Raw genomic sequence first — 24698 nt, 5'->3', positions numbered from 1 at the left:
ATCCAGCTCTGTGGGGCAGGTGGGGACCAGCTGGCAGCTTAGGGTGCCAGGTCAACCTGGTGACCGGTTCTGAGTGTGTGGCATTACAGAAAGAGGCTTAATGGGGAGGGCAGAGTCTGCAGGGGGTGGGGGGCAGCTGTGGGCAGAGAACATCAGGAACCAGAGACATCAAAATCAAGAGTAATGAAGTGGAAATCACACTAGGGCCTGGGCACCCCCAGCTATTTGGCTTATTCAACCTGAGTGTAACTACAAAGAGGGTATCCCCCATTTGCAAGTATCTGTGTGCCTTTGGTCTCAGCTCCTTCTGCTATCCCTGTGGGTTAACACCATCTAGGGCAGGGGCTCAGCCTTGCTAGTGAGAGGAAGGTAAGGGGTCCCTTACATTCAACTGTTTACATCTCATCACACTGAGATTCTAGTCCCTTCCTGACAGAGCCCTGCTGCTGGGCCACAGCTTTTTATTAAGCACCCACTATGTGCCAGGCACTGTTCTGAGTGCTGGGGATACGGTGATCAACAAAACACACAAAAATCCCTTCTCTTCAGAGACCCAAGCATCTGTGTTCCAGGACAGGGGCCTAGGCCCCAGAAAATCAGGGCCAGGGATTGGAGAGCATGGGGGCAATGGGGGCATCAGGGCTGCCAAGCCAGCAGCCTGGGAATCTCCTGGGAGATCTTGGACAGGGGTAATGAACCATCTCAGTGGGCTCTCAGACTGTGTGACCCCAGCAATAAGAGTGCAGAAACAACCAGGTAAGGGTGGTCAGCATTGACAACACCTGCAAGTACACTGCATTCCAGTTCCCGTGTGGCCCAAGAGTATAGGGCAGCTAACCTGGGAGAGCCACAGAGACCACCTCACTCCCCATTTCACAGCTGTGAAAACTGAGACCCAGGGAAGGGAAGCTTTTGTCATGATTAAGGAGCAAACAAAACTTTGAAGGAAGGACTTTGAAGGAGGGACGGATTCATGCAGGTGCATGGCCCATGCCCCTGGCCTTACCTTTTTGTTTTTCAGTCCCATCCTCTTGAGGCCAGGAGTGTCTGGCCTTGTTTAACAATCTTGGGGATGAGTACTTGGTATCAGTGGGTGATCAGGAATCAGTCCTGCCCAGACAGCTGGCCTGGGCGTCTTGGAGTCCTTATGGGTAGTAGACAGTATGGAGGTCAATGTGGTCTCAGGGGTGCCACACACCAGCCCTGGGGCCTGGATGTGGGGGGAGGGGGAGGGTGGCCAGGTGGGAGCAGGTCCTGGATCTCTCAGCAGCGAGATGGTCTGTGGGTGGAAGGGCCTTGGGGGTTGAGGGCCATGGCCAGCTGGACAGGGTCAGCAATGAGGCAATTGACTCTTGGCACACCTAGGACGGTGGAGAGATGGGGCAGGGGGGCCCTGTCTCTGCCCAGGCCTGGAAAACAATAAGCTCTTCCACCTAGCTGGGTCACCTGGGCAACACTGTGTGATGTCACAGGGCAGGGCCGAAGTCACACAGGCACCTGTCCAGGTGCAGTGAGCTAGAACGCGAAGCCCTTTTCCCTATTCCTGGAGCTGTGTTCCACCTGCCGCCTGGCACTCAGGCCCCACCCTTCCTGCTCTTGGTGCCTCAAGTAGTCTCCACCAACCCTGTGGTGTGGCCAGCCCCATGCTGCTCAAGCTGCAGCAAAAGAGGAAGCAGACACTGCTCTCAAGAGTGTTGCAGCTTGATCGGTAAAACAGCTACTTCTGTTGAAGAATCTACCAGCCATCGTGCCTCTTTGGGTACCTATAGTCTTCCATTTATTTGATAATAATAAACACAAACTTCAAGAGGATGGTTTCTTCTTGGAGGGTGGGTGGGAAGATCGGGGAGAGAAGAGGGTAAGAGCATACATTCTAAACTTTTGGGTTTTTAGATTGGGTGGTCAGTTAATGGAAATTCATTACATTATTGAAAATAAATTATAATTAAACAATTAAAGAAAGCCATGATGGGTCAGTGATGGCACTAGAGTACGAACCAAAGATTATGGTTCAGTTCTGAGCACTGCAAGAAATTATTACAAAGACAAAGAGCATTTGCTGCACGCCAGGCAGGGTCCTAAGTGCTTTTGGTGAGGTGAGATGGCAGAATGAAGAGAGACTAGTCCTTGGCCTGGGGTGGGGGGTTGCTCTATAGAGAGGTGAGGTCTGAACTGGGCTTCGAAGAATGATCAGAAATCCTGGGCTAGAAGAGGAGGGATTTGGGGTACTGGGCAGTGTTCAGAAGTGTTTGGGGGGCCCCTGTGGCCTGCCTCATTTCTACCTATTTTGGGCCCCAAGTTGGAGATTCTTTTAATCTGGCCGAAGAGCAGGACCAGCCTGGCAGCCAGGAGGCAGGAGACTCCGGCTTTGCAGAGGCCTCCCAGCCTCCCTCTCTACCCCCACTCCAGAGAGAGCAGCAGCAAGGATGTGGTTCTCCCCAGTTTAGAGACAGAAAAACTGAGGCTTTGCTTTTGATTAGAACTGAAAGGACCAGCCAAGGTCACCCAGACACTGGTGGGGGATGGTAGTCAGGAACCCCACTCCTAATTTTCTCCCCGTCTAGGCCTGCCAAGAGTGGTACTCCTGGGGCTCTGGGGCTGGGGGCCTGACCAGGAATGGCCTGGCTGTGAGCACTGTGCTTTATCTCCCTTGTGGGCCAACATGTCCCAGCACAGTGTGTATGTGTGGAAAGGTCTCAGTGGCTGCTCCCCCAGTCTCTCTAGAGCGCATCTCCCCCAACCTCTCAGGCCTGCTTAGTCTAGGAGGCTAGGGCAGCAGGTTCAGGGGGTGGGGAGCCATTGCTCCTTCTCTAGCAGCAGGACTGAAGATGCAAGCCAGGTGCCTAGGAAGCAAACTTTAATGAAGCACTCATTCTCAGGGCTGTGCGAGCGCTCCGCTCCCGACACAGAGCCTCACATTTTGTGCCCTGGCCACCTTGCCTGCCTCACTGTGGTCCTTGCCCTGCCCTGCAGCTCTGCCTCAGTCCCCGGGGCTCGGGGCTCTCACCCAGCTACCCTCCTTGGCATCTGAGCTTTCTGCCTCTGCAGCCACGCCCCTGCCATCTTCCTGCCTGGGAAGATAATGCGATTGGGCACTGGTTCCAGGCCGTCTGGCTCCAGGGTGCAAGTGGGCCCTGTGCACTCAGCAGCCACCAGTAGGGCCCTTCTACCTCCTGACTTGCTGGTTGTTCACCTCCCCAGACCAAGGACCCCTGAGACACCAGCTCCTGTGCCTGTCCTAACCTCCCCCGAGAGCTGCTTCCTCCTTGCCTGTGAGAAGGCCTTAGCAGCATGAGCCCAGCTGCTCTACCTTCTCCTCCCCTTCCTCCAGCAAGGTGAGCTCTATATCCCCAGCCCAGAGAAGTGGGCTTGCTCCTCAAATGTCCAGGGGCCAGCCCCAAGCTGTGATGATTCAGGGAGATTCCAGGGTGAGGGAGAGCAGGGAATGATTAATCTCACAGCTAATAGATAACTGTGCCCACCCCCTACCCACAGGAGACAGCACTTGGAGCTATATCACTAGGAGGGGCCAGGGGTTAAATGTGGCCACTAGAGAGCCCATAGTTCTGGGAGGGGCAAGCCCCTGAGGCTGGATCTGGGGCTGGCTCTTGGGGAAGGAGGGATCTTGCTGGCTGGACAGCAAGAAGAATCTGGGTAGACAGATGTGGCTCATAGTCAGCCCTGCTTCCTCATGCCATGTCTGGGGCCTGGAGTCTGAGGAAGCAGCCTGTGAGGACAAACTACCCATGCAATGAGACTCAGGGGAGTGTGTCTGTCTTCCAGAGACGCCCCCGCCTCCTGACTTGGCCTTTCCTTCCCTGTGAGTCCTGTCCCACCCCCACATTTGGGCAGCTGAGTTGGATGAGGTGGGAAATGTAGGCAGTGTGATTTTGTAGCAAATGGCAGCTCAAAGCTGTGTGATCTTGGGCAAAATGTTAACCCTTTCTGAGCTTTGGTTCCCATCCTTATTCAGTGAGGCAATCAGGGCTGCTCTGTGGGCTGAATGAGACCACGCAGGTAAAGCTCTTAACACGGATGGTTATGAGCTCCAGGCATGCTCGCTTTTCCCTGCTAACCAACCTTGGGCTTGGCAAGTTCTCTCTAGTGCAGCTCTGGGTGGCAGTGACTTCAGTTTAAACCCAGCTCAGCACCTTAAGGGGTGGGGTGTGAACTGGCCTCAAGGGGCCCAGTTAGAGCCCTTGTGGAAGCACAGGGCAAAGCCAGCTCTCCAATCTCTCTGCAGAAACTCCTGAGGCTGAGCCTCATAACTTATATGAGGTCAGAGCAGCCCTCGAAGGTCCTGGCCAGCAGCCGGTGGATTCAGAGCGGGGAGCCCTCTCAGAGTTTTCCATCCTTCAGCCAACAAGTGAAGACCTGCTGTCTACACCACTGGGGCCGAGGGTGCGTGGCAGTGGGAGCATAGAGACCCTCTAAAGGAAATGCTTCAGTAGACAACAGTCAAAATAATCAAAGGAGGGGCAGGGACTTGCCCTGGTCCCACGCCCCTGCCTCATGTTTCTTACATACCAGGAGTGAACTTGCAGCTCCAGAAGCAGCACACACACAGGAGGTGTTGCTGTGGACCAGGAGGACTGCACACACGTTCAGAGCAGGAGATAAAGGGGTCGAGGAAGGCCTCCGGGATGAAGGGCCTTGAGCAGGACCCTGAGAACACATTGGATTTAGGTAGGAAAGGGGACATTTCTGTTGAAGGGCTACCTGAGAAAGGTGCGGCCATGGGCGTGGGCCTGGAAGCCGGGAACAGAGAGGGGATAGAGAAGAGGGCAAGTGGGCCTGGGATGATATCTGGTCTGGGTGGGTGTGAAGGCTCAAGCGCTGGTGGAGACATGCAGACTTCACCCCATGGCCATTTCTCACTTCTCTGGCCCATTCCAGTGGGGGAGAACTCACCAAGTCCAAAGTTGGTTAGCAGGGAAAAAAGCAAGCACGTCTGGGGGACTTCACTGTCCGCGTTAAGAGCTTTACCTTCATGGTCTCATTCGGCCCTCAGAGCAGTCCTGATTCTCCCACTGGATAAGGACGGGAACCAAAGCTCAGAGAGGGTTAACATTTTGCCCAAGATCACACAGCTATGAGCTGCCATTTGCTATAAAATCACACTGCCTACATTTCCCACCTCATCCAACTCAGCTGCCCAAAAGCAATGGAGAAAGAGTGATAGGGAGATATGGGGGAAGGGGCAAGAGTCAGGAAAAGAGAAGGCCAAGTGTGGGGGCTCTGGGAGAGAGGCACACTTTCCTGGACTCTGCCTGGCAGCCAACTCTCTCCATACAAGTGCCTTTCCAGGTTATGGTCATTGTTCCCTCTTGTCTCTTCAAACCTAGGAGTCAGGGAAGGCTTCTCACAGGTTCCAGCCCCCAAGGCGCTGTAGTCTCCCTCTTGTTTTTCCTAAACCCCACCCTCAGTATTGTAAATAGTCCCTTTATTAAACTCCCCTCAAGCTCCTGAATTTGAATGCCTTCTTTTTCCTGGCAGGACCCTGGCTGATATACCTGCTGTGTGAGCCCCTCTCCATGGCCCAATCTCTCGCCCCGCCTGATGTCCTGGTATTACTGCTGTCATCGTCACCACCAGCCCCTTCACACCCCCAACTTTTAGTGAGCACTTACTGTGTGCCAGGTCTCATGCCAAGAGTTGACCTGCGCCATGTCATTTCATCCTCACATTTACGCTCCCGGAGTTATTGCTGTGAGTCTTTTCTTTTTTCTTTTTGAGACAGGGTCTCATTCTGTCTCCCAGGCTGGAGTGCAGTGGCATAATCTCAGCTAACTGCAACCTCCGCCTCCTGGGTTCAAGTGATTCTCCTGCCTCAGCCTCCCCAATAGCTGGGATTATAGGCATGCCACCACGCCCGGCTAATTTTTTGTATTTTCAGTAGAGACAAGGTTTCCCATGTTGATCAGGCTGGTCTCGAACTCCTGACCTCAAGTGATCCACCCGCCTCAGCCTCCCAAATTGCTGGGATTACAGGCGTGAACCACCGCACCTGGCCAGAGTCCATTTTTAAGGTGAGGACACAAATGCTCTGAGGGAATGGACTTGCCCAAGGTCACACGGCTTTGAGGCGGCACAGCTGGGATTTGACTCCAGGCCTGCTGGCTCCAAAGTCCGAGATCATTACCACCAAACCACGCTGCCTTTTCCTTTCACTCTGGGAAAGGAGTCGCAGCTCTCCTTTCCTCTCTCCAGAAACTGGGGCAGCATGAAAAATTCAAGACCAGAGATGAAAACACCTGGCCTTTTGAATGAGGCCAGACCAATGGCTCTGCGGCAGTGCAGCCTGCAGACACTGGTGTCAAAGGAGATTGAGGTGGTGTGCCCCAGAGGCTCAGCTGGGCATGGCTGGCCGGCCCCCATAAGCAAGGGCAGAGCCAGGGGGCCTGGAGGACATCACTTCTATCCAGCACAGAGGGGCTGCAGGGCTGTTTGATTATGAGGGCTGGTGGGGTCATAACACCCCAGACTGTGACTCTATCACTAATGTAGCTCGCTCCCATTTCCAGCTAAGCCTGTTAGATGCAGGCTGCTGTCTTTAGGGTCTGCTTGCTGAGTGGGCCAGGGTGGGATCCTGGAGGCTCTGGGGGCCTGCCCTTCTGACCTTTCCCTGGTTGCTTGCCGTGCAGAGGTGACTTCTATCAGCTCAGTAAACGGCTACTGGGCTAAACCCTTGTGTATCTGTGTTTTGTCTCAGAGCAGACTTTGTGATAGTCCTGACCCTCTCTTGCTGCACCTAGTTCTTGTGGGCTCTGGTCACCACCAAATAGGCAAAAAGATTTGGCAGCAAAGAAAAAAAGCATGATGACTTGGAATCTGTCAGGCCTGGCTCTAACCCTGGTTCTGCCAGGCACCGGAGTGAGGGTTTGGGCAAACCCCCTGATCCCTCAGAGCCTCCCATTCCTCATCTGCAGAGCAGGTCTACCAGCAGGCTCTGTGCAGGGTGGTGGCGAGGATTAGATAAGAGAATGGATGCCTTCACATGGTAGGCAGCCCCACAGTGAGCTTTCCCTCACACTTACACCAATGTATGCCAAGATGGAGCACCTCTGGCCCAAGCTTTGGCAACAGGAGACTTGGGGGTGACGAGTAGAGTGTGATGTTCTCGTTGTTGGACAACGCGGCTTCCATTTGCTTAGCAGGCACGTTTATGGATTGCCATGTTGAAGGATTCCTCTTGGCATTTGGCAACCACAGCTCTCATTTGGGGCGGCCCAGCTCCCTCCATCATGTCATAAATCACTTTGCTAAAGATGCAACGTTGCTTTTGGGCATTTTTCTTTTGAAAAATCAATAACTCGTGTAACAAGGGACTGAATAAAGGAGTGAGCAATGAAGCTGCCTGCCATTTCCTTCCATCAGGAGGGGCAGAAGCAGTGCTCTGCCAAGGTTGGGTGGGGGGTCTACTCAGAGGGCAGAGAGGCCTTGGGGTGGGGACAATAGGCTCAACCTGTTTCCAGCAAACCTGTGTCCCCTCACCCCAACTCTTCCAACCTCCAAATCTGACCAAGGCCCTCCTCTGCTTCAAAAAACACCTTAGTAGGACCCCATCACTGCAGGGGACCCCTGCCAGCCTCCTGGTCTGCTCACCCCAGGCCCTCACACCCACACTCATGACATGCCTGTGGTCCCTGTGAAGGAGCAGTGGTCTCTCCAGCCTTCAGGCCTTCACCTTTACTGTTCCATGTGCCTGGGCCATCCCTCTTCCCCAGCCAGCCTGAATAATTCAAGACACAATTGAATTGTGCACAACCTGCACAAAGATTCGCTGCAACCTTCCCCCACCCGACCTCAGGGACATCAGATCCACAGCCCATGGGCCTCCCCTGCCCTGGCTCATGATCCACTGTGGGCTTCTCTGGGACAGGATCTATCTTCCCCAAGGGCGGGGACCATGTCCCCAGGGCCCAGCATGTTGCCTGGTGCAGAATTGGCACCAGATGGGTGCTTGATGTATGAGTGAGGGATGACATTTGTGTCAAGTATCTTCCTCCTTCCTGCTACTTCAGCCTGGGACAGTGATGCCTGCTCCCCCAAACCCTCCCTCTCCACAGTCCAAGCCCCCAGTGCCTTCTCGCCTTGCTAGGGCATGCACGGGTGTGTATAGGAACCTCATAATAATAGCTAACAGTGAGCAATATTCTGTGTGTTTTACATACGTTAACTCAGTCCTCACAATGACATATGAGGTAGGTGCTACTATTGTCCCCACTTTATTTTATTTTTATTTCTATTTTTTTGAGACGGTGTCTCAATTGTCACCCAGGCTGGAGTGCAGTGGTGGGATCTTGGCTCACTGCAACCTCCGCTTCCCAAGTTCAAGCGATTCCCCCGCCTTGGCCTCCCAAGTAGCTGGGATTACAGGTGCCTGCCATTACGCCTGGCTAATTTTTGTATTTTTAGTAGAGACTGGGTTTCACCATGTTGGCCAGGCTGGTCTCGAACTCCTGACCTCAAGTGTTCTGCCTGCCTCGGTCTCCCAAAGTGCTGGGATTACAGACGTGAGCCACCGCCCCCAGCTTGTTGTCCCCATTTTAAAGATAAGAAAATGGAGGCAAGCTTCAGACTTAGGCCACCTAGCTGCAGAGACTGTGGCCTTAATCACAGCACTCTCCTTACTGAGGTGCTTGTGGGGAGCCTGGGGGTGGGGGTGACAGCCTTGGGTACCTCGCCCACTGGACAGGGCCTCAGGGTTGGCTCTGCAGCCGGGATGCGCCAGCAAGTCCGAGGGGCTCCAATTACAGGAAACTGCTCACTCAGGCCAAGTCAGCCCGGGCTCCCTCCCTCTCAGATTCCCTGCTCAGCGCCCGCCACCCTTCGCTCACACCACCCGCCATCTCTACCAGAGAGCAGAGCCTCTGGCCCTAATCTCATTTGAGGCCATGAAATCGCATTTGCAGCGTATTAATGCAGCGTGGAGCTGGCCCGGCCCCTGCCTGTCTCCTGGAAGAGAGGAGCCTGGAAAACAATCCCACGGGGAGGCGTCTCCAGGAACACCCGCCGACAAAAAGCAATTATGCTTTAAGAGGAAGATTAAAATAATGTCTACAACCTCCTCGCTCCCATGCCCATCCGTGAGCTCCACTGGCCCAATAGTGACTCAAGACCAGGCTTCCGGGTGGGGTAAGGAGTGGGGGCCCCATGGCCCAGCCCCTCAACTGCTCCCACAATCACTGGCTCCCCAGAGAGCTTCCAAGTTCCCCAAAGAAGCCACAGTCTCTCCAGCCCCTGGGTCTTTATTCAAGCTTTTCCGTCCAACCCTTGCCTACCTGGCAAGCTGCCATTCACTCGGCGTCACGAGAATGGCCAGCGTTTTGTGAGCATTGGCTATAGTCTTTAAATTTACTACACATTGAATTCAACAGTCCTGCTGGCGAGTGTTGTTATCATCCTCATTTTACAGATGAGGAAAGGAGGTGCAGAGAGGTGAAGTCCCACAGCTGGAGGGGGCAGAGAAGGATTGAAACCAGAGCCCATCACTACTCTCCTCTCTGCCTTTCTGCCCTGATCAAATACTTTCCACCCCTCTACTGCGCCTTCAGCCTCCACAAGGTGGGTCCAGCTGCTTCCCCTTCTATACCCAGGGACTGCAGTGCTCTCCCTGTGGTGCTCCTGTCTTTCCAAGAGCTCTGAGAGGCCAGGCCTGGCATAGAATCAGGGTTCAACAAATGCTTCCTGCATGGAGGAATCAGTAACACCTCTCTGCAGAGGTAATGGGGTGGAGATGGGTGGCCCATCCCCCCACCCCCGCCTCCAAGGCTGTGAATCAGGGTGGCTTCCAGGCTGCCTGTGTTCTGGAAGTCTTTGGAACCCCCTCTCCTCCGAGACCTCTTGGACTGCACTGAGGCTAGAATGTTATTTAATTGTCACAACCACATTGCCAAGTAGACATCATTATCCCCCTTTTACAGATGAGAAAATAGTCAGAGAAGTAAAATGACTTGCTCAGGAACACCTATTGCAAGGCAGACCAGGAACCTGAACTCAAGCCTGAGTCCAAAGTTTGTCTACTGAACCTTCTTGACTGTAACTCACTGTCACTTCTCAGACAGGGTGGAAAGGCCTTAATTATGGGCCAGGGCTACTTATGCAACACTTTTTTCTAAGTGTCATTAGCCAACAGCAGTGGTTCAGGGAGTTTGCTCTGGGACTCTGAGCCACTGACAGCCCCAACTCCATCCCCAGCCTTGCTCCCAAACCATTCAGTGCAATAAATGAGCACTCATTGTTGGGGCCAGCGTAATACCAAGTAACCTGTCTTGGCAGGACTCGGTGTGATTTGGGGCCACCAGGAAGAAATCTCCTCCCTCAAAGTGCTTCCCCGTGATCCTTTCACGTGCCCAGAAAGCCCAGCATTAGTGCTGCATGGGCTGAGGAACAGCTTGCAAATGGGCTAAGGAACAGCTTGCAAAGTGTGAGTCTCCCTGGGAAAGGATGCTGTTAGTCATTCCCACCTGTGTGCTGACTACTGGCTCAGAAAGACCAAAATATATGGTGATCTGGATTCCAGCTTGACCTTGCTACTGACTGCCTTGGGCAAGCTGTCTATCTCCTCTAGGGGCTCAGTTTCTTGCTTCAGAAAATGGGCTCTATCAAGGTTACCCTGCCTACCTCCCAAGACCAGTATGATGCTCCAATGGGCTCTGCAGGCTGCCAAATGTGATATAAGTTCCACCTCTGCCAGCCTGGCCCAGAGCAGCCTCTGGTACAGAGGGGATAGTACAGAGCTCGAAGTACTCAGAGATGGCACCTCCTGTGCATTCCATTGGCATCCCCTGCAACTCCCTACCACCTCCATCCTACGAACCAGCTCTCTCCACCTCCTGTTTCCCCCCTACTTGCTTGTCCCTCGAATACCTCCACGCCTTTGCTCACACTGTCCTCCACCTTTTTTTTTTTTTTTTGAGATGGAGTCTCGCTCTATTGCCCAAGCTAGAGTGCAGTGGTGTGATCTTGGCTCACCGCAACCTCTGCCTCCCAGGTTCAAGCGATTCTCCTGCCTCAGCCTCCCGAGTAGCTGGGACTACAGGCACATGCCACCACGACGGGCTAATTTTTGTATTTTTCAGTAGAGACGGGGTTTCACCATGTTGGTCAGGCTGGTCTGGAACTCTTGACCTTGTGATCTGCCTGCCTTGACCTCCCAAAGTGCTGGGATTACAGGCGAGAGCCACCGTGCCTGGCTCACCCTTGAAAACCATTCTCCCCACTCTCTGCTGGAATCCCACCCCACCATAGAGGCAGGGTGCAACTGTCTCCCTGACATTTGTGGGATGGGTTGTTAGCACCACGCAATTTCCCAATCTCTTCCTCACTTGAGCCTCATAACTTCCTTGTTAGTAGATAGGACTCTGTCCATCGTACAGATGAGGAATTTGAGGCCCAGGGAGGTAAGGGACCTGCTCCAAGTCATAACTGCTCATATGCAACTGGGAAATGAGGTTCTAAACTAAGTCTTCTGACTGCCAGCAGAACTGTCTTCCTCCAACAGACTGAGTCCTTGACGACCACCCAGCTCATGCCCACCACTTCCTCCACAATCGGCTTGGAAAGTGATTGTTCCTCAACTCCTCCTATTTCCTCTCCCTGCCCAGCCTGGCAGCTCCCTGAAGGCTGGACATACAGCAACCCAGTTTACTGCTTGGGAAAGTGAATGAATGAATGAATGAATGATCATCACCTCAGGCTGAGGGAGGTTGGACCTTTGGAGCCCAGGGCAGGCTGTCAGGTCCAGGTGGAGGAAGGACGTCCCACACGCATTCTCCATCTTCCCTGGGACGGGGCCTGGTACCTGCTGGCCTCAGCTGCTCCTGACCCCAGGACTCTGCAGAACTAGCCCAGGACCCAGGCTGGGGGTGGCTGGGCTGGCCTAACAGCCCTACCCCTCACCAGGGCCAGGGTGGGCTCACTGGGTGCTGTCAGCCTTCCTACCCTGCTGCTCCCCACCCTAATCCACTGTCAGAGGTATATTAAAGATGGGTTTCACGCAGGGTTTTAATCTCACCTCATATATCACATATGCCATGTCCCCAAGTCCCTTTCTCACCTGGTGCTGCACTTGGGGTTGTTGTACAGAGATGGAACCAGGGAGACGCAGGAGATCCAGGGAGGTGCGAGTCTGTGTGTGGGAGGATGTGCGCTTCCCAGGCATGTCCATTGGTGTCTCGGGGTGAATCTATCATTGAGATGGAGGTGGAGGGTAGGGGGGTCTCTGCATGTTGAGGATGCTGGAGGTCTGTGTATATTCACGTATGTGTGCATGTGTATGTGTCCTTGTGTGTCGCAGCATCCATGAGGGTGGATGGAGTTGGGGGTGGGTGGAGGGTGTTCAGGAGTTGGGGGCACATCCGCTTTCCATGGGTGTAAGGTTAAGAAAAGGCCATCGTCACTGGGCCTTCCTGCACATTATGCCCGCTTCCTTCACTGTGAAGATAATTTCTGGAGATGAGAAGGCCACCACATTTCCCTTCCCTGGAGCCCATCAGCTGCTCACTGGGGCTGGGGCTGGTCTGGTTGGGAAGACATCAGAGGCAGGCAACCCCTTCCTCTCCATCTCCCCCCACATCATTCTCTGTCACACACACACACACACACACACACACACACACACACACGCCTCCAGGAGGTGTGAGTCAGCGTCAGCCCCTGGCTGGGGTGAGGAAAGGCAGAGATGAAGGAGGACAGCAGGGCCATCTGGTGTGTTCGGTTACAACAATCTGCTAATGGAGGCTCTTCCCAGACTAGCACCCAGGCTGGGCTGGCCTTCTCCACCCTGCAACCTGGAATCTGGGCCCAGACACAGTGAGACTCACAAGCTCCTAACACCCCTCCCTTGGGAGACTGGCTGGGCAAGAAGGAGCAATCCTATTTTCTAGGTGCAGAAACCAAGGCCCAGACACATCCTCTTTGCCCAATACAGACATCCCAAATCATTACTAGAACAGCAGGAATTTATTAACCACTTACTGCAGGGCAAGGCTAACTGTACACTAGCTCATTTCATCTTGCCAGCAATAAAGGGCACAGAAATTGCTCTCTCCCATTTTACAGACGTGGAAGTGGAGGCTGAGGGAAGTTATATAACCTGCACCAGGTCAAACGCTGCTAAATCAATGCCAGAGCCCAATCAGCATCCAGGTCCTCCTGACTTCCATGCACCTGCCTCTCACCCTAAGCTGGTTGAATCCCAAATCCCTCCCATCCTCTACTCTGCTGAGTTCCAGGCACAGACCCTGTTAGGACCCTAAAAGCATATACAGATGACATGGAAATCTGGAAGCACAGGGGTGGAGGGACAGGCTTGGGCAAGGACACAAATATGGGACTCCCTCAAACTGTGCAATTTTGAGTCTCGTCCATGCTGCCCAGGACCTCTGGGCTCTCCTTCAGGGACCCCATGAATGGAGAGTGTTTCAACGCACCCAGAGGAGGAAGGGGAGCCAGCAGGCTGCCTGCAGGGTGATCACGATGTATTTAGCCCCTGGCCTCTCTCCCTGACAGGGTGGGAGGTGCAGGGGTGAAGTGGGGGCTGGAAGTGCCCCCCACCCCAGCCTCCCCAGGGCCAGCACCTGCCTGCCCCACCTCTCTCTCCGCCATGGTGCCGGTCTGCACCCCTCCCTGCGTGGGTGACAGCATTCTCTGAGAACGCCATGACAGTGCCTTTGTTCCCCTGAAATAAAAGAAAATCGAGCTACAAAGGGAAACCTCAGGTAGCTTTTAACGGGGCTCAGCTGCCTGGGGCAGAGTGTGTTTAAGCTGGAGGCAGTTGTCAAAGGAGGAGAAGGGGGAGCTGCCTGCAGTCCCCTTCCCACCCCCTACTCAAGGGGGAGCCCCCATGATCGTGTTTACTCAAGGAAAAGGCTCTTCCAAATAGTGGCAGAGGAGAAAATCAATGTAAATTGATGGAGAAATGTAAAGCAGCTGTCTGCTGTCTGCTGTGTGTGTGTGTGTGTGTGTGCATGCTTGCGTGTGTGTGTGTGTGTGTGTGTGTGTGTGTGTGTGTGTGTGTATGCTGGCGGTGGGCACAGCCTCAGCAGAAGCATGCTGCCTGGACGGGGCTGACCTGCTCGGGCCTGAGGCCCAGAGGGTGGGGGCTGGGAGTCAATCTCTGGCACGTGCCTGTAGAGGGGCACTGGTGGCTGGGGGAGGGGTGGCAGCAGAGTCTCTAACTCGAGTTAAGAGAGAGATTAATATATTCAATCCGCTCCAGGGTAATTGAGGGAACAATTGGAGTGTTTTTCTAAAGCCCATAAAACTGCCTCATTTGCAAGGAGGAGCTGACTGGCCTCCAGTCCTCTGTGTTTGGTGAAGCGCAGGAAAGGAGGAGGAGGGGGAACCCCAGTACCCAAGGGCTGGGACATCAGCCTGGGAGGGGCTGGCAGTCCTGATCTAACCTGTTCTCACCTTCCCCACCTCCCACCACTTTGTTGGTAGCAGCCCAAGCATTGCTTTCTAGAGCCTCTCTTTCCCCACCTGTGAAATGGGCCAGTGACAACTCCCCTCACCAGGAGAGCAGAGGGAGTGGCAGAAGGGGAGGCTTCAGAAGATGAGGGAAACCAGCTAACCCAAGGGTCCAGCACTGAGGGGATGGGGCATGAACGAAGAGGTGCCCAGTTCCCCAGCCACGCCAGCCCCCACTCACACCCCCGTGCTGCACCCCTGAGATTAAACGGGCAGTAAAGAGTAAAGTTAATGAAATCCACATCATGTGCCTCTCCCTGCTTGAACCATTCCAGTCTCCAGGGCAATAGAAATAGTGTATGCAATCGCGAGCAATAAAAGGCATAATGAATTTAAAAGCAGGCCATGGGGGCGGGGGGAGTGAGGACGGAGTGCTTGGGCCTTAAAGGCAAGAGGATGCCTGGGGCTGGGAGAGCGCCGGCCTGGAGCTCCAACTAGAACTGGGACCAGAGACATGCAGGCGGCGGGGGTCGGGGGAGTGGGGTGGGATGGGGGTAGGGGTGGCCGAGGGGACGCTAGGAAAGCCGTTCACAACAGCTCCGTGGCCGCTCTCCTTTCCCCTCCACTTCTCCTTAATGAAAGCCCCCTAGCCAGTGGGTGCCAAATTCACAATCAGAATCCACAGGCTTAGAGCCAGGTGCTTGGCGTTTGGTGATTGCTTTATTAGCTTTTCTTCTCCTTTTTTTCCCCTTGGGGGAAAAAAAGGTGTTTTAAACGGAAGGAATTAAAAAAAAAAAGAAAAGAAAAAGAAAAAAAAAACAACCTTGAAAGTGTCATTTAAAAGGCTCCTGGGAAACGAAATCGTTTCTATGAAACAAAACTGCGATTGTTGGGAAGAGGTAAATGCTGGGGGAGGGAGGAGCAGTGCACCCCTCCTTCTCCTTCCAGAGCTCAGAGCTGTGTGGGAGGGAGTTCCCGGCCTTCTAGCGAGGGAGCCCCCAGGATGGCTCCCAGAGCTACAAACAAGGAACCTTAAAATTTGCGTTTCCAGAAATTATATCTCTGGGAATTTCCAGTTTCCCTCTTGAACAGCTATGCCAGTGGGAGACTGTCAGTAGACTTTCAGGGATCTCTTGGAGAGGGCAGTGAGGTACCAGAAGCGTTGTGGCCTCTGAGAGCCCAGCCCCAGGCCCACAGCTGTTGTGGTCTCCCCCGCCCTTTCCAGCCCTCCAAGAGTCATCATTTTCCCCTAAAAATGTCCAGCCGAGTCACATCTGATGGCCTTTTTGCCGGCTTTGGGTTGCACCTTGCTGCTTTCCTCACCCCGGGGTGCTCTGTCCAGCACCGAACAGGCCACCCTCATCTGGTCTGATGAACTCCCCCTTACCCCGGGGAAGGAGAGGCTCTGGGAGCTGGAGAGGCATAGCTCTATGGTCTCAAACCTGCCAAGAGGTGACAGGAGGCAGCGCTGAGGGGGTGGGACGAGTGTAGTGGAGCTCTACCCAGAAAGGAAGCACCCTGAGCCTCTGGGAAGGGCTGCTGCTCTGGCTGGCAGGAACCTGGAAATAGTTAGCCCTCTAGGTGGGTAAATTCCCTCTGCAGCCCCTGCCTGCATGCTCCCAGCATCCCCATCCTTGGGTCAAGGGCTCAGGGAGTGACCTCTATCTTGGAGCTGTGATTGTGCATGCTGGAAATATTCATGGAGGACAGTCCCTCCCACCATCACCTCCCCACCCACACAGAGCAGGAAGCTTGGGGACTGGAGAAGCGAAGGTGTTCACTGTCCATAATTTTATTGCTCAGGGGAATTGATTGTTTTAGTTCCCGAGTCTCCAGGACTAGGGAATGCTGTGACCAGCATTGGCAGGGCCATTTAAGGCTGTGTAACCCAGGGGCCGTGGCTGAGAAGCAAAATGATTCTGATTCAAAGCCAGTCGTGGAAGTTTGCTGAGCTCTGACCCTGGTCTCACACTGAGCCTTGTCTTCCGCTTCCTTCTCATTCTGGATCATCTTGATTATTGCATTCCTGCTCATCCTGCTCTCCTGCCCCTGCTCCACTGCCCCCCATGACCATCATCAGTTCTGGTGAAAAAAAAAAAAAAAAAAAAAAAAAAACCAGTGCCACACACTACACAAACTGGAGAACAACTTGTGAGCCTACAACCAAGTTCTGAATTGAATAGATTCAATTGTTGAAATGCCTGATCACAGTCAGGACTGAGGATAACTTGGGAGGGATAAAATCAATGCTGGGAAGGCTTCCTGGAAGAGGTGACTTTGAGCCTAGACATTTGCATCTGGAGCCAGAAATCCATCCGTAGCTTTGATCTGAATATTGCTCGCTGACAGCCCACTCTTGCTGCTGTCCTTCCAGCTGTGCCTTTGAGCCTCCAAGTAGCAGCACCAGAAAGGTGCCTGCCTTCCTTAGCCTGAACTGCTAGAGCAAGTTATCTGGAGCTGAAACAGCCCCTGTATTCTCTGAAGGACCTGTCTTCATTGTCTGCTCCCTTGTGCTTCCTGGCCCTGTCGTCAGGGTTATGATTGCTGACTCTCCCCCCACTCTCCCCCAGGGAAGCGATTTTCCTCTCCCTTGAAAGCCATTTTCTTGTCTTGGCAGAAGCAGACATCTGACACTTTAAGAGGGAGCATGGTGGGGAGATGATGGCTTTAAATAACAGAAATTAGAGCTGCCGAGTTCGACTCAGCCATCTCGCCAGTCCCCTTTCCCCTCCCTCGCACACATTCAGAACTGCAGCCTGAAGAGCATCGTCCACGTGGCCTGTGGCTCAGGTGGCCAGGGCACTCTGGGACCTGGAGAGCAGGGGACAGCTTCTTCCGAGTTCACAGCTTTTGTGTGCCTAGTCCTGTGACAAACTGTAGGACACCAGGCCCTGAAGTCAGGGAGCTTGCAGTCTAAGGGAACAGAATGTCACCTAGGAATGCAGGTGACATGCATTTTATTTTACAAGATCAGCACTCAGCACAGAGCTGGGTGTGCAGGAAGTGGTCAAAAGTATGTGTTGATTGACTGATGAATGAATTAATGGACAGAGGCCATAGTGGGCCATGTCAACAGGCTGAGTGACTGGGCAAGAGAAGCTGGTCCCTGGGTCCCTGCGTCCTTGGTCATCCTCGTAGTTATCCTGGTACATGCTGCCCTATCACTTGGCCTAAACCACAGCTCAGATCTGGTCTTTCTCCCGCACAAACCCTGCACAAACCCCTCTGGTGTTCCCCACTGCCTCCTGAAATGAACATCCACCTCTGCTCTTCCTGGTGCCCTCGACTCCCTCCACTTTCTCCCATCCCCAGGCCCTCTCCCAGCCTGACAGTCCACCACCTGGGCTCCACTTCAGCACCAGACCAATGCACTGCAGGGAGAGAAGCACCGCAGATGGGCCAAGAGCCTTTGGTTGTCAACTTCTGGCTCCAATCTCTGCTCATCTTCTACTGCCAGCGGAACCTCTCCCTTCCTCTTAGCCAGTGTATCATGGTCCCTCCTCCTGGAATACCCTCCCCAAAGCCCAGTATTGCTATCCCTAAGTCTTACCCACTTGGCAGGCAGTCGGCGGAGTTAGCATTTAACAAATGTCTGATGGATGAATGAATGGATAAAAGGGTAAATGAAGGAATGAATGGGAAGATTCACCTCAAATAAACCCTCTTCCAAGAAGCCGTTCCTAGTCACCAAAATCTGACATGTACAATCCCTCACCAGAACTCTCCTGCCAGGCATGCCCTACAGGACCATAGATGATACCCTCACTATACCCAACTGTCTTCAAGCCAGGCGACACCCTGAGCTTAGGTGCTGTCACTTTTGGATTCTGTGCACTATTATACACTAAGGTTTCCAGGAAATGTTGTTGACATTAAATGGCATCAAGCATACCTTGGGCCTGTTTCTCCACCTGTCAAATGGGCTACTACTTGCTCTACCAGCTTCTATCTGTGCTGGCGTGAGGCCTACTAGACATGCTGTCTGGTCACAGAACATGGTCATAGGGGAGAAGCCTCCTATATTTCGGATAAGGACTAGACTCTCTCACCTGGGTCCTGGGTTGGGGTTGAGCCCCTCCTGGTCAGGGTGGATGCTAGATGGGCTTGAGGGTGGGCACACAGAGGAGGCTTCTGTCCCCTGGTCACTCGGGGCCTCCCACAAAAACTGGTGAGAACGAGGTTGGGAACTGAAGGGTCTCAGGGGACACTAACCCACAGGGCAAAAGAAACCCCACTTGGTTGGCTCCCTGCTCTGTGTGGCCTTTGCCCCATTTTCTGTCTGCCCATTGTAACTGGGACTCCCATGTCCATCCTCAGACTGCACGTTCCTCAGACTGAACATGGCAGCCTTGGGAGCTCTGCTGCTCTGCTCAGCTCAGCTCAGGACAGGGGGTAGCCTGGCTTATCACGGAGGCTGGGTCTTGTACCCGGTGAGCCCAGAACCTGAACTGGGACCAGGGAAGCACCCACCTGCAGTATGGGGAGCTGGGGCTCTGGGCATGGTGACATCAGTTCTGGCTGGCCAGCCCTGGGAGGGCTGTCTGAGACTGGAGGCTGAGGGCCCCGGTGGACGTGGAAGGCCACACTGTAGGCCAGGCTCCCACAGTGTCGGGCTGTGGGGTCCGTGCTAGCCCGGAGCAGAGCCAGGTTGCCACAGTAGCGGTACAGGTCCTCGTGATCCTGAGCCTTTGGGTTCATGCGGGGTTGGTCTGGCCTCGGGTAGATGGGGAAGATGGCCTCACCCACCCGCTGGGCTGCCCGTCCCAAGGGTTCGTCCAGCCTCAGTGCCTCCACATGCAGCTGAGCATCATGCTGCCCGTCATTCTTGCAGAAACCTGGATGAGGGAACACAGGGCTCAGAGATGGTCTCAGGTTTCTCTGCATCTGCCAGGTGACTAGGAGGACAGGCAGGGCCCTGGGGAAACCTGGGCTGCCCAGACTTTGAGTCAAAGCCAAGCAGTCTTGGCTAAGATTTCCCTGGTAGGCGACTCCCTCCTAGGCCCCACCCATGGCTCCCTCCCTTTGCTGATGCCCAATCCAAGCCCACCGGGCAGGGGTGAGGAAGGGAGGGCTTAGCCTGTGGGATGATCCTAGGTCCTGCCACCACCATAGACTCCTAGACTGGGGAAGAGTTCAGCCTGCCCCTGATTTATAGCCATTTAAAGTCTGGGACTTGGTTTCCCTGTTCCCTCACATCCCTCCTCCTCCAGGCAGCCTGCCAGGGTGGCCTTAGTCTAGGCATGGATTTCCTTCTCATTCCAGCTCACTTTACTTTTCTCTGCTTGGAGTTCCTTCCTCTCCACCTGCTCTGGAAGTTCCAGAAGGCAGGGCCCAGGTCCCCTCATTTCTGTCCACCCCAACATACCCACAATCTAGTGGGGCTCAGGGACAGGCACACAGGGCTGAGTATAATATTACTCGGTGTAATGTCCACTGCTCAGGACTGGCCCCCAAACCCACTGTGTGCTCAGCACTTTTACATTTACAAAGCCATCTCTCATCTGCCCTTCTATTTCCTTCTCACCTGACCTTGCGTGACAGGCACCAGTGTCCCCATGCCACACTGAAGGAGGCACGGGTTACAAAGGCCCAGAATTTGCCCAAGGTCACACCGGCAGAGCTTTGGGATGCAGTCTGGAGCTCTGACCCCACCCTCCCAGTTCTCCTGAGGCTCTCTGGGGTCCCAGAAAGGGACTCAGGCAGGAGTTCCAGGGTCTTTCTCTCCCCCAAACCCCACCCCTACTTCATACCTTTGGGCAAAGTAAAGATAAACTTGCTCCTGGTGAGGGTGAGGCTCTGGCCAGGCTCCTGCTGCTCAATGACATCAGTGATAGCAGAGCAGGCAGGGAAGGGGTCCCCATCATTCACTTGCAACTGCACCCCAGCCCCAGAGCCCACCTGCAGGGGGTTCTCTGCTGACAGTCTCAGGGCGTATCTACCCGCCTCATTAAACCCCACGCTCAAAACTTCGAACTCCAGATCCAGCGTCTTCTCCTCGGCCTTCAGCCTCTGTCTCAGCAGGGATGCAGAGACCCAGGGTTCAGGCCCCCTGAATGCCATGGCCACTGAGAGACCAACTGCCAGGCTGAGCACTGCACCCTCTCACCCACAGCCCAGCCTGGACCCAGTCTGAAAGCCTGCAGGCTGGGTGCTCAGGGACACTCCCCACCCACCTCTGTTTGTTTGAGGAGAAACCAGGTAACAAGGCAGGAAGCTGGGCCTGACCCAGGGAAGTTTTTTTCCATCGATCCCTTCCTTTTAGCATTTGTTCCTTCAACAAATATTTCTTGAACACCTACTGTGTGCCAGATACTATTTTAGGCATTTGGAATCCAGCAGTGAACCAAACAATAACTCCAGCCCTCTGAAGCTTATCTTCTAGTGGGGGAGGTGGGTAGAGACAGACAAAAATAAACACTAAATATGGAAAATAAGTAAATTATAATGTATGCTAGAAGATGTTAAGTTCTATGGAAAAAATTAGAGCAGGGACAAGGAAGAAGATTCTGGTGTGGGGAGCTCATGGGTACGTGGTATCCAGAACTTCCCATTCTGGGAGAGCCTGTTCATATGCCTATTCTTTCTCAAGAGTTCTTGACTTGGGGTGTAGGGGAGTCTCAAGGGAAGGGAGACAGTGTCTATTCTCAGGGAGCAAGCCCTTAGTTTACCTTTTTTTTTTTTGAGATGGAGTCTTACTTTGTCACCCAGGCTGGAGTGCAGTGAGCCAAGATTGCACCATTGCACTCCAGCCTGGCAACAAGAGCGAAACTCCATCTCGGGAAAAAAAAAAAAAGTGGTATTGGCCAGCCCAGCTACAGGTCCCAATGTATACAGCAGGCTTCCTCTGCAATGATTAAAATTCAGTTTCTTCAGATCCCCCAGGGAGAAGCTGAGACAAAGAGTTCTAGTCGCCTGACTTGTAAGTGAAATTCAGGAGATCCCTTCTGTTTGGGTGTCAGTGTGCCCATCTGTATGATTGGGGTAGTGGGGCAGATAAGTCATCTCTCAGCTCTGATAGTCTGAAATTCTATAATTCATGTCGGGAAAGACCACAGTATGGCCATTTTGGGGAGAGGGTAGGTGGCAGAGACTACCTGGAAACCTTTGCCTCAGCGGCTGGGCATGGCCAACCAGTGTGGGTCTGGAGGCGGTGGTGTACCTCTGCCAGGTCTGAGGTCTTGGAGCTTAGTGACTCAGTAATAGCAGCTCTCTTCCCTTGCATATTTGAAGTGACCAGCAGAAATGTTACAAGATAGGAGTCCAGTTGCTTCTGCCCTAGGGCCAACCTTTGTGCACGTATCCTGGCCCCATCCCCTGCAAGCAGGGCCCACGCTCAGAATCACGCCGGTTTATCCCGAGTCCCTTCAATACTTCCCACATACCCCTTGCTCTCCCTTCTTTCCCTCCCTCCAACTTTTTTTCTTTCTTTCTTTCTTTCTTTCTTTTTTTTTTTTTTTGGTGAGATCGAGTTTTGCTCTTGTTGCCCAGGCTGGAGTGCAGTGGCGAGATCTCGGCTCACTGCAACCTCTGCCTCCCGGGTTCAAGCGATTCTCCTGCCTCAGCCTTCTTCAGTAGCCGGGATTACAGGCATGCGCCACCACGCCCGGCTAACCTCCCTCCAACTTTCTACAAAGAATCTGAGGTGGCTCTGTTGGCCTTAGCAAGGTTTTAGGATCCTCCACCACCTAATGTCCACACCCACTCCTATTTCTTGCCTCCCCTCTCCCATTATCTCTGGGGAAGGTACTTTTTTTTGGTGTGTGTGTACAGTTACTTTTTAAAAAAAAATTGTAGTCAAATACACATAACATAAAATGTACCATCCTAACCACTTTGAAATGTGCAGCTCAGTGGTGTTAAATAAATTTACATTGTTGTGCAACCAATCTCCAGAACTCTTTTCATCTTGCAAAACTGAAACTCTACACCCATTAAACAACAACTTCTTCCACCTCCCCCCAGCTCCTGGCAACCACCATTCTACTTTCCGTCTCTGTGAATTTGAATACTCAGTGCTTCATAGAATTGGAATCTTACAGTATTTGTCTTTTCACAAATGGCTTATTTCACTTAACATAATGTCCTGGGGAAGGTTCCCTTTTGCTCCAGGCCAGGTCTGCCCTTTCTCACCTCCCTACCCTTGCTGGTGTGATTTCCACTACCCAAACTGCCCAGCTCCACCCGACAGCAGCCCTACTCATCCTGCAGACTGGCTAAAAGCCTCCTCCCCTGTGACCCGGGTTAGTGACTCCCTCCTCCATCCCATTTTGCATTTTCCTCTCCTGTCTCAAATGATGACTTGCCCACACAAGTCATCATTCATTGCCCTGAATGTTGTTTCAGGAATCATGTTTGTGTGCCCACGCTGGGCGAGGGATAGGTGCCTGGGAAATGGTTAAAGCATTATGGATGAATAAATGAATGAATGCATGAATGAATGAAGTGATGAAGAAATTCAACCCAGCTTCTACTTATGCAGAAAGGAATAAGAGTTCTTTTGGCTATTTCATTTGGAGTCCATCTGTGACAAGCAAAGACCATTTGGGCTTTTGAGTCAAATTTAGACTCAGAGATGCAACCTGGTGCCTCAGTGGGCAAGCAGGTGGTGAGGAGGGAGGGTACCAGTGTTGGAGGGTAGTAAATAGGACAGGAGGCAGAAACCCTGATGCTCAGGCATCTCTGAGTCTGGCCTCAGTTCTATGTAGAAATCTGGAAACATCAGTGAATTTCAGCAAGTCAGGGCTAGACGGCAAGCCCATTTTACAGATGAAGAAACTGAGCCCAGGGCCGCAGGGCAGCACCAGATCCCTCCTCCCTTCTCAGGGTTCTCTCTACTCCTGGCTGCCTCCCTGATTCAGCCTCCCACGGTTTTCAAAAAGTTTAAACTCCAGGTGAGACTGTCTCTGGGGGGCAGGGCCTGGTTCCCCAGAGGGGTTCAAGAAGGGGTAAGGGATGTGGGCTGGGGTGAGTGGAGGGAGGCAGGAAGGGAGCAGCCTTGGAAGGCGAACTTCCAAGCCACCTTCCAAAGTCCCAGCGTGAAAGACCTTAATGGGGCCCTCCAGTCTTCTTTCTTCCCCCAAAGAATGGCCACTCAGAGGCCGCTGGCTTTGTTTGGAAGAGCCAGGGCCTATAATTAGCCCACCCCAGAGGGCCCCCTTCCTGCTTCCCACAATGGCTCCTTTCAACCTCCCCCGCTGACACACCCCCATGGCCCCTGAGGGCTCTGAGACCCCTATCTTCAACGATCCACCTCCAACTCCCTCCCCACCCCCACTTTACTTCCTTCCTCTAGGCAGAGCTGAATCCTGGCAAGCAGGGAGCCCATGAGTTCTCTGGAGCCAAGGATCTGGGGCTGGGACTCATCTCCTTCCACAGGCGCAGAATCTGAGGTGCAGAGAGAGCACGTGGCTAGTGAAGGGATAGACCTCTGATCTCCTGACTCCTGGGCCACTGCGATTAGGTGATCATGCGATCATCACTGCTCCACCCTGGGCCTTCAGCACCCAGCCCCCTGCAGCAGCCTCCCTTCCCCCGCAGGGGTACGTCACCCCAGGCCCACTTCCCACTCCCTTCCCTTCAAGTCCACAGTGCCAGAGGCCCACAGGGCAACAGGATCACAGGCTCAGACCAGCAAAGGGAAGAATGGCAGCCAGTCTCCCTCCGTCACACAAATGGGAAAACTGGAACCCCGAACACGGAGGGGCTTGCAGCGGCCAGGGGAAAGCTTCCCCACCACCCTCTGAAGGTTGGCTAGAAATCACCAACAAGAGGCAGGTGAATAGGAGGAAAGGTGTACACCTTATTAACATGTACACAGGAGCCTTCAGAACAAGGACCCAGAGATACAGGGAAAATTGTCCACTTTTATGCTGAGTTTCAAGGACACATGGACAGCTGTGTAGCGATATGACTGGACAAAAAGGGCAATGATCGAATGTGAATAGACGGAGTGGGGACACCCAGCAAGGCCTGTCTCTCTGGATTTCTTCCTGGCCCCTCTGAGCATGCATTTCTTCCTTCTGGGTGTGGGTATGGGGCAGGACTTTCTGGAATGGAGGTCTGACCTACAATCAAACAAGGTAGGCCTGAGAATTTTTTTTGTTTTTTTTTTTTTTAGAGACAGAGTCTCGCTCTCTCGCCCAGATTGGTGTGCAGTGGAGCGTTCTCGGCTCACTGTAACCTCCGTCTTCCAGGTTGAAGCGATTCTCCTGCCTCAGCCTCCCAAGTAGCTGGGATTACAAGTGTACACCACTACTGCCTGGCTAATTTTTGTATTTTTAATA

At 53.4% G+C, this 24698-nt stretch overlaps 1 protein-coding gene and 1 long non-coding RNA gene across 18 annotated transcripts in view, besides 5 other annotated features; one reads left to right on the top strand and one right to left on the bottom strand.

Annotated features, from left to right (window-relative positions):
- The window catches only part of CCDC33 (coiled-coil domain containing 33), a 133474-nt gene that overhangs the window by 98726 nt on the left and 10050 nt on the right, over positions 1-24698 (bottom strand). For 11 of the 16 annotated variants that reach the window (XR_001751401.2, XM_011522085.4, XM_017022624.2 and 8 more), the window contains exons 1-2: positions 20166-20546; positions 18886-19250 (exon numbers count right to left, since the gene is read on the bottom strand). Coding sequence is in view for 15 of the 16 variants with exons in the window: in XM_011522085.4 (XP_011520387.1) it covers positions 18886-19250; positions 20166-20475 (675 nt within the window). In the remaining variant the exon portion in view is untranslated. Of the gene's footprint in view, positions 1-1006; positions 1422-5630; positions 5776-18885; positions 19251-20165; positions 20547-24698 lie in introns of those variants that run through there. The other 5 variants (XM_005254692.2, NM_025055.5, XM_011522087.2 and 2 more) reach the window with 4 other exon arrangements.
- Positions 3134-3730: an enhancer, noted in NCBI's record as "H3K4me1 hESC enhancer chr15:74526358-74526954 (GRCh37/hg19 assembly coordinates)". NCBI's record gives its function as "activates a minimal SCP1, AML or CMV promoter by ChIP-STARR-seq in naive H9 embryonic stem cells {active_cell/tissue: H9 hESC(naive)}" and the evidence as "EXISTENCE:reporter gene assay evidence [ECO:0000049][PMID:30033119]".
- On the top strand, positions 4242-6154 carry LOC105370893 (uncharacterized). 2 transcript variants are annotated; one of them, XR_932459.3, is made up of 4 exons: positions 4242-4401; positions 4531-4686; positions 5497-5709; positions 5897-6154. It is a non-coding gene; the product is annotated as an uncharacterized LOC105370893 (long non-coding RNA). The 2 variants fall into 2 exon arrangements; XR_007064710.1 differs by having other exon boundaries at positions 4396-4686.
- Positions 4522-5721: an enhancer, noted in NCBI's record as "CDK7 strongly-dependent group 2 enhancer chr15:74524367-74525566 (GRCh37/hg19 assembly coordinates)". NCBI's record gives its function as "activates an origin of replication core promoter dependent on BRD2, BRD4, P300/CBP, MED14 and CDK7 cofactors, with strong dependence on CDK7, by STARR-seq in HCT116 cells {active_cell/tissue: HCT116}" and the evidence as "EXISTENCE:reporter gene assay evidence [ECO:0000049][PMID:35650434]".
- Positions 12886-13623: an enhancer, noted in NCBI's record as "H3K27ac-H3K4me1 hESC enhancer chr15:74516465-74517202 (GRCh37/hg19 assembly coordinates)". NCBI's record gives its function as "activates a minimal SCP1, AML or CMV promoter by ChIP-STARR-seq in naive H9 embryonic stem cells {active_cell/tissue: H9 hESC(naive)}" and the evidence as "EXISTENCE:reporter gene assay evidence [ECO:0000049][PMID:30033119]".
- Positions 13624-14361: an enhancer, noted in NCBI's record as "NANOG-H3K27ac-H3K4me1 hESC enhancer chr15:74515727-74516464 (GRCh37/hg19 assembly coordinates)". NCBI's record gives its function as "activates a minimal SCP1, AML or CMV promoter by ChIP-STARR-seq in naive H9 embryonic stem cells {active_cell/tissue: H9 hESC(naive)}" and the evidence as "EXISTENCE:reporter gene assay evidence [ECO:0000049][PMID:30033119]".
- Positions 18961-19170: a silencer, noted in NCBI's record as "fragment chr15:74510918-74511127 (GRCh37/hg19 assembly coordinates)". NCBI's record gives its function as "represses an EF-1alpha promoter that drives an FKBP-Casp9 reporter gene in an ReSE screen in HepG2 liver carcinoma cells {active_cell/tissue: HepG2}" and the evidence as "EXISTENCE:reporter gene assay evidence [ECO:0000049][PMID:32094911]".

The sequence above is a fragment of the Homo sapiens genome, chromosome 15 (assembly GCF_000001405.40).
Source record: "Homo sapiens chromosome 15, GRCh38.p14 Primary Assembly".
NCBI lineage: Eukaryota > Metazoa > Chordata > Mammalia > Primates > Hominidae > Homo > Homo sapiens.
This window is presented reverse-complemented; position numbering and strand designations above follow the sequence as displayed.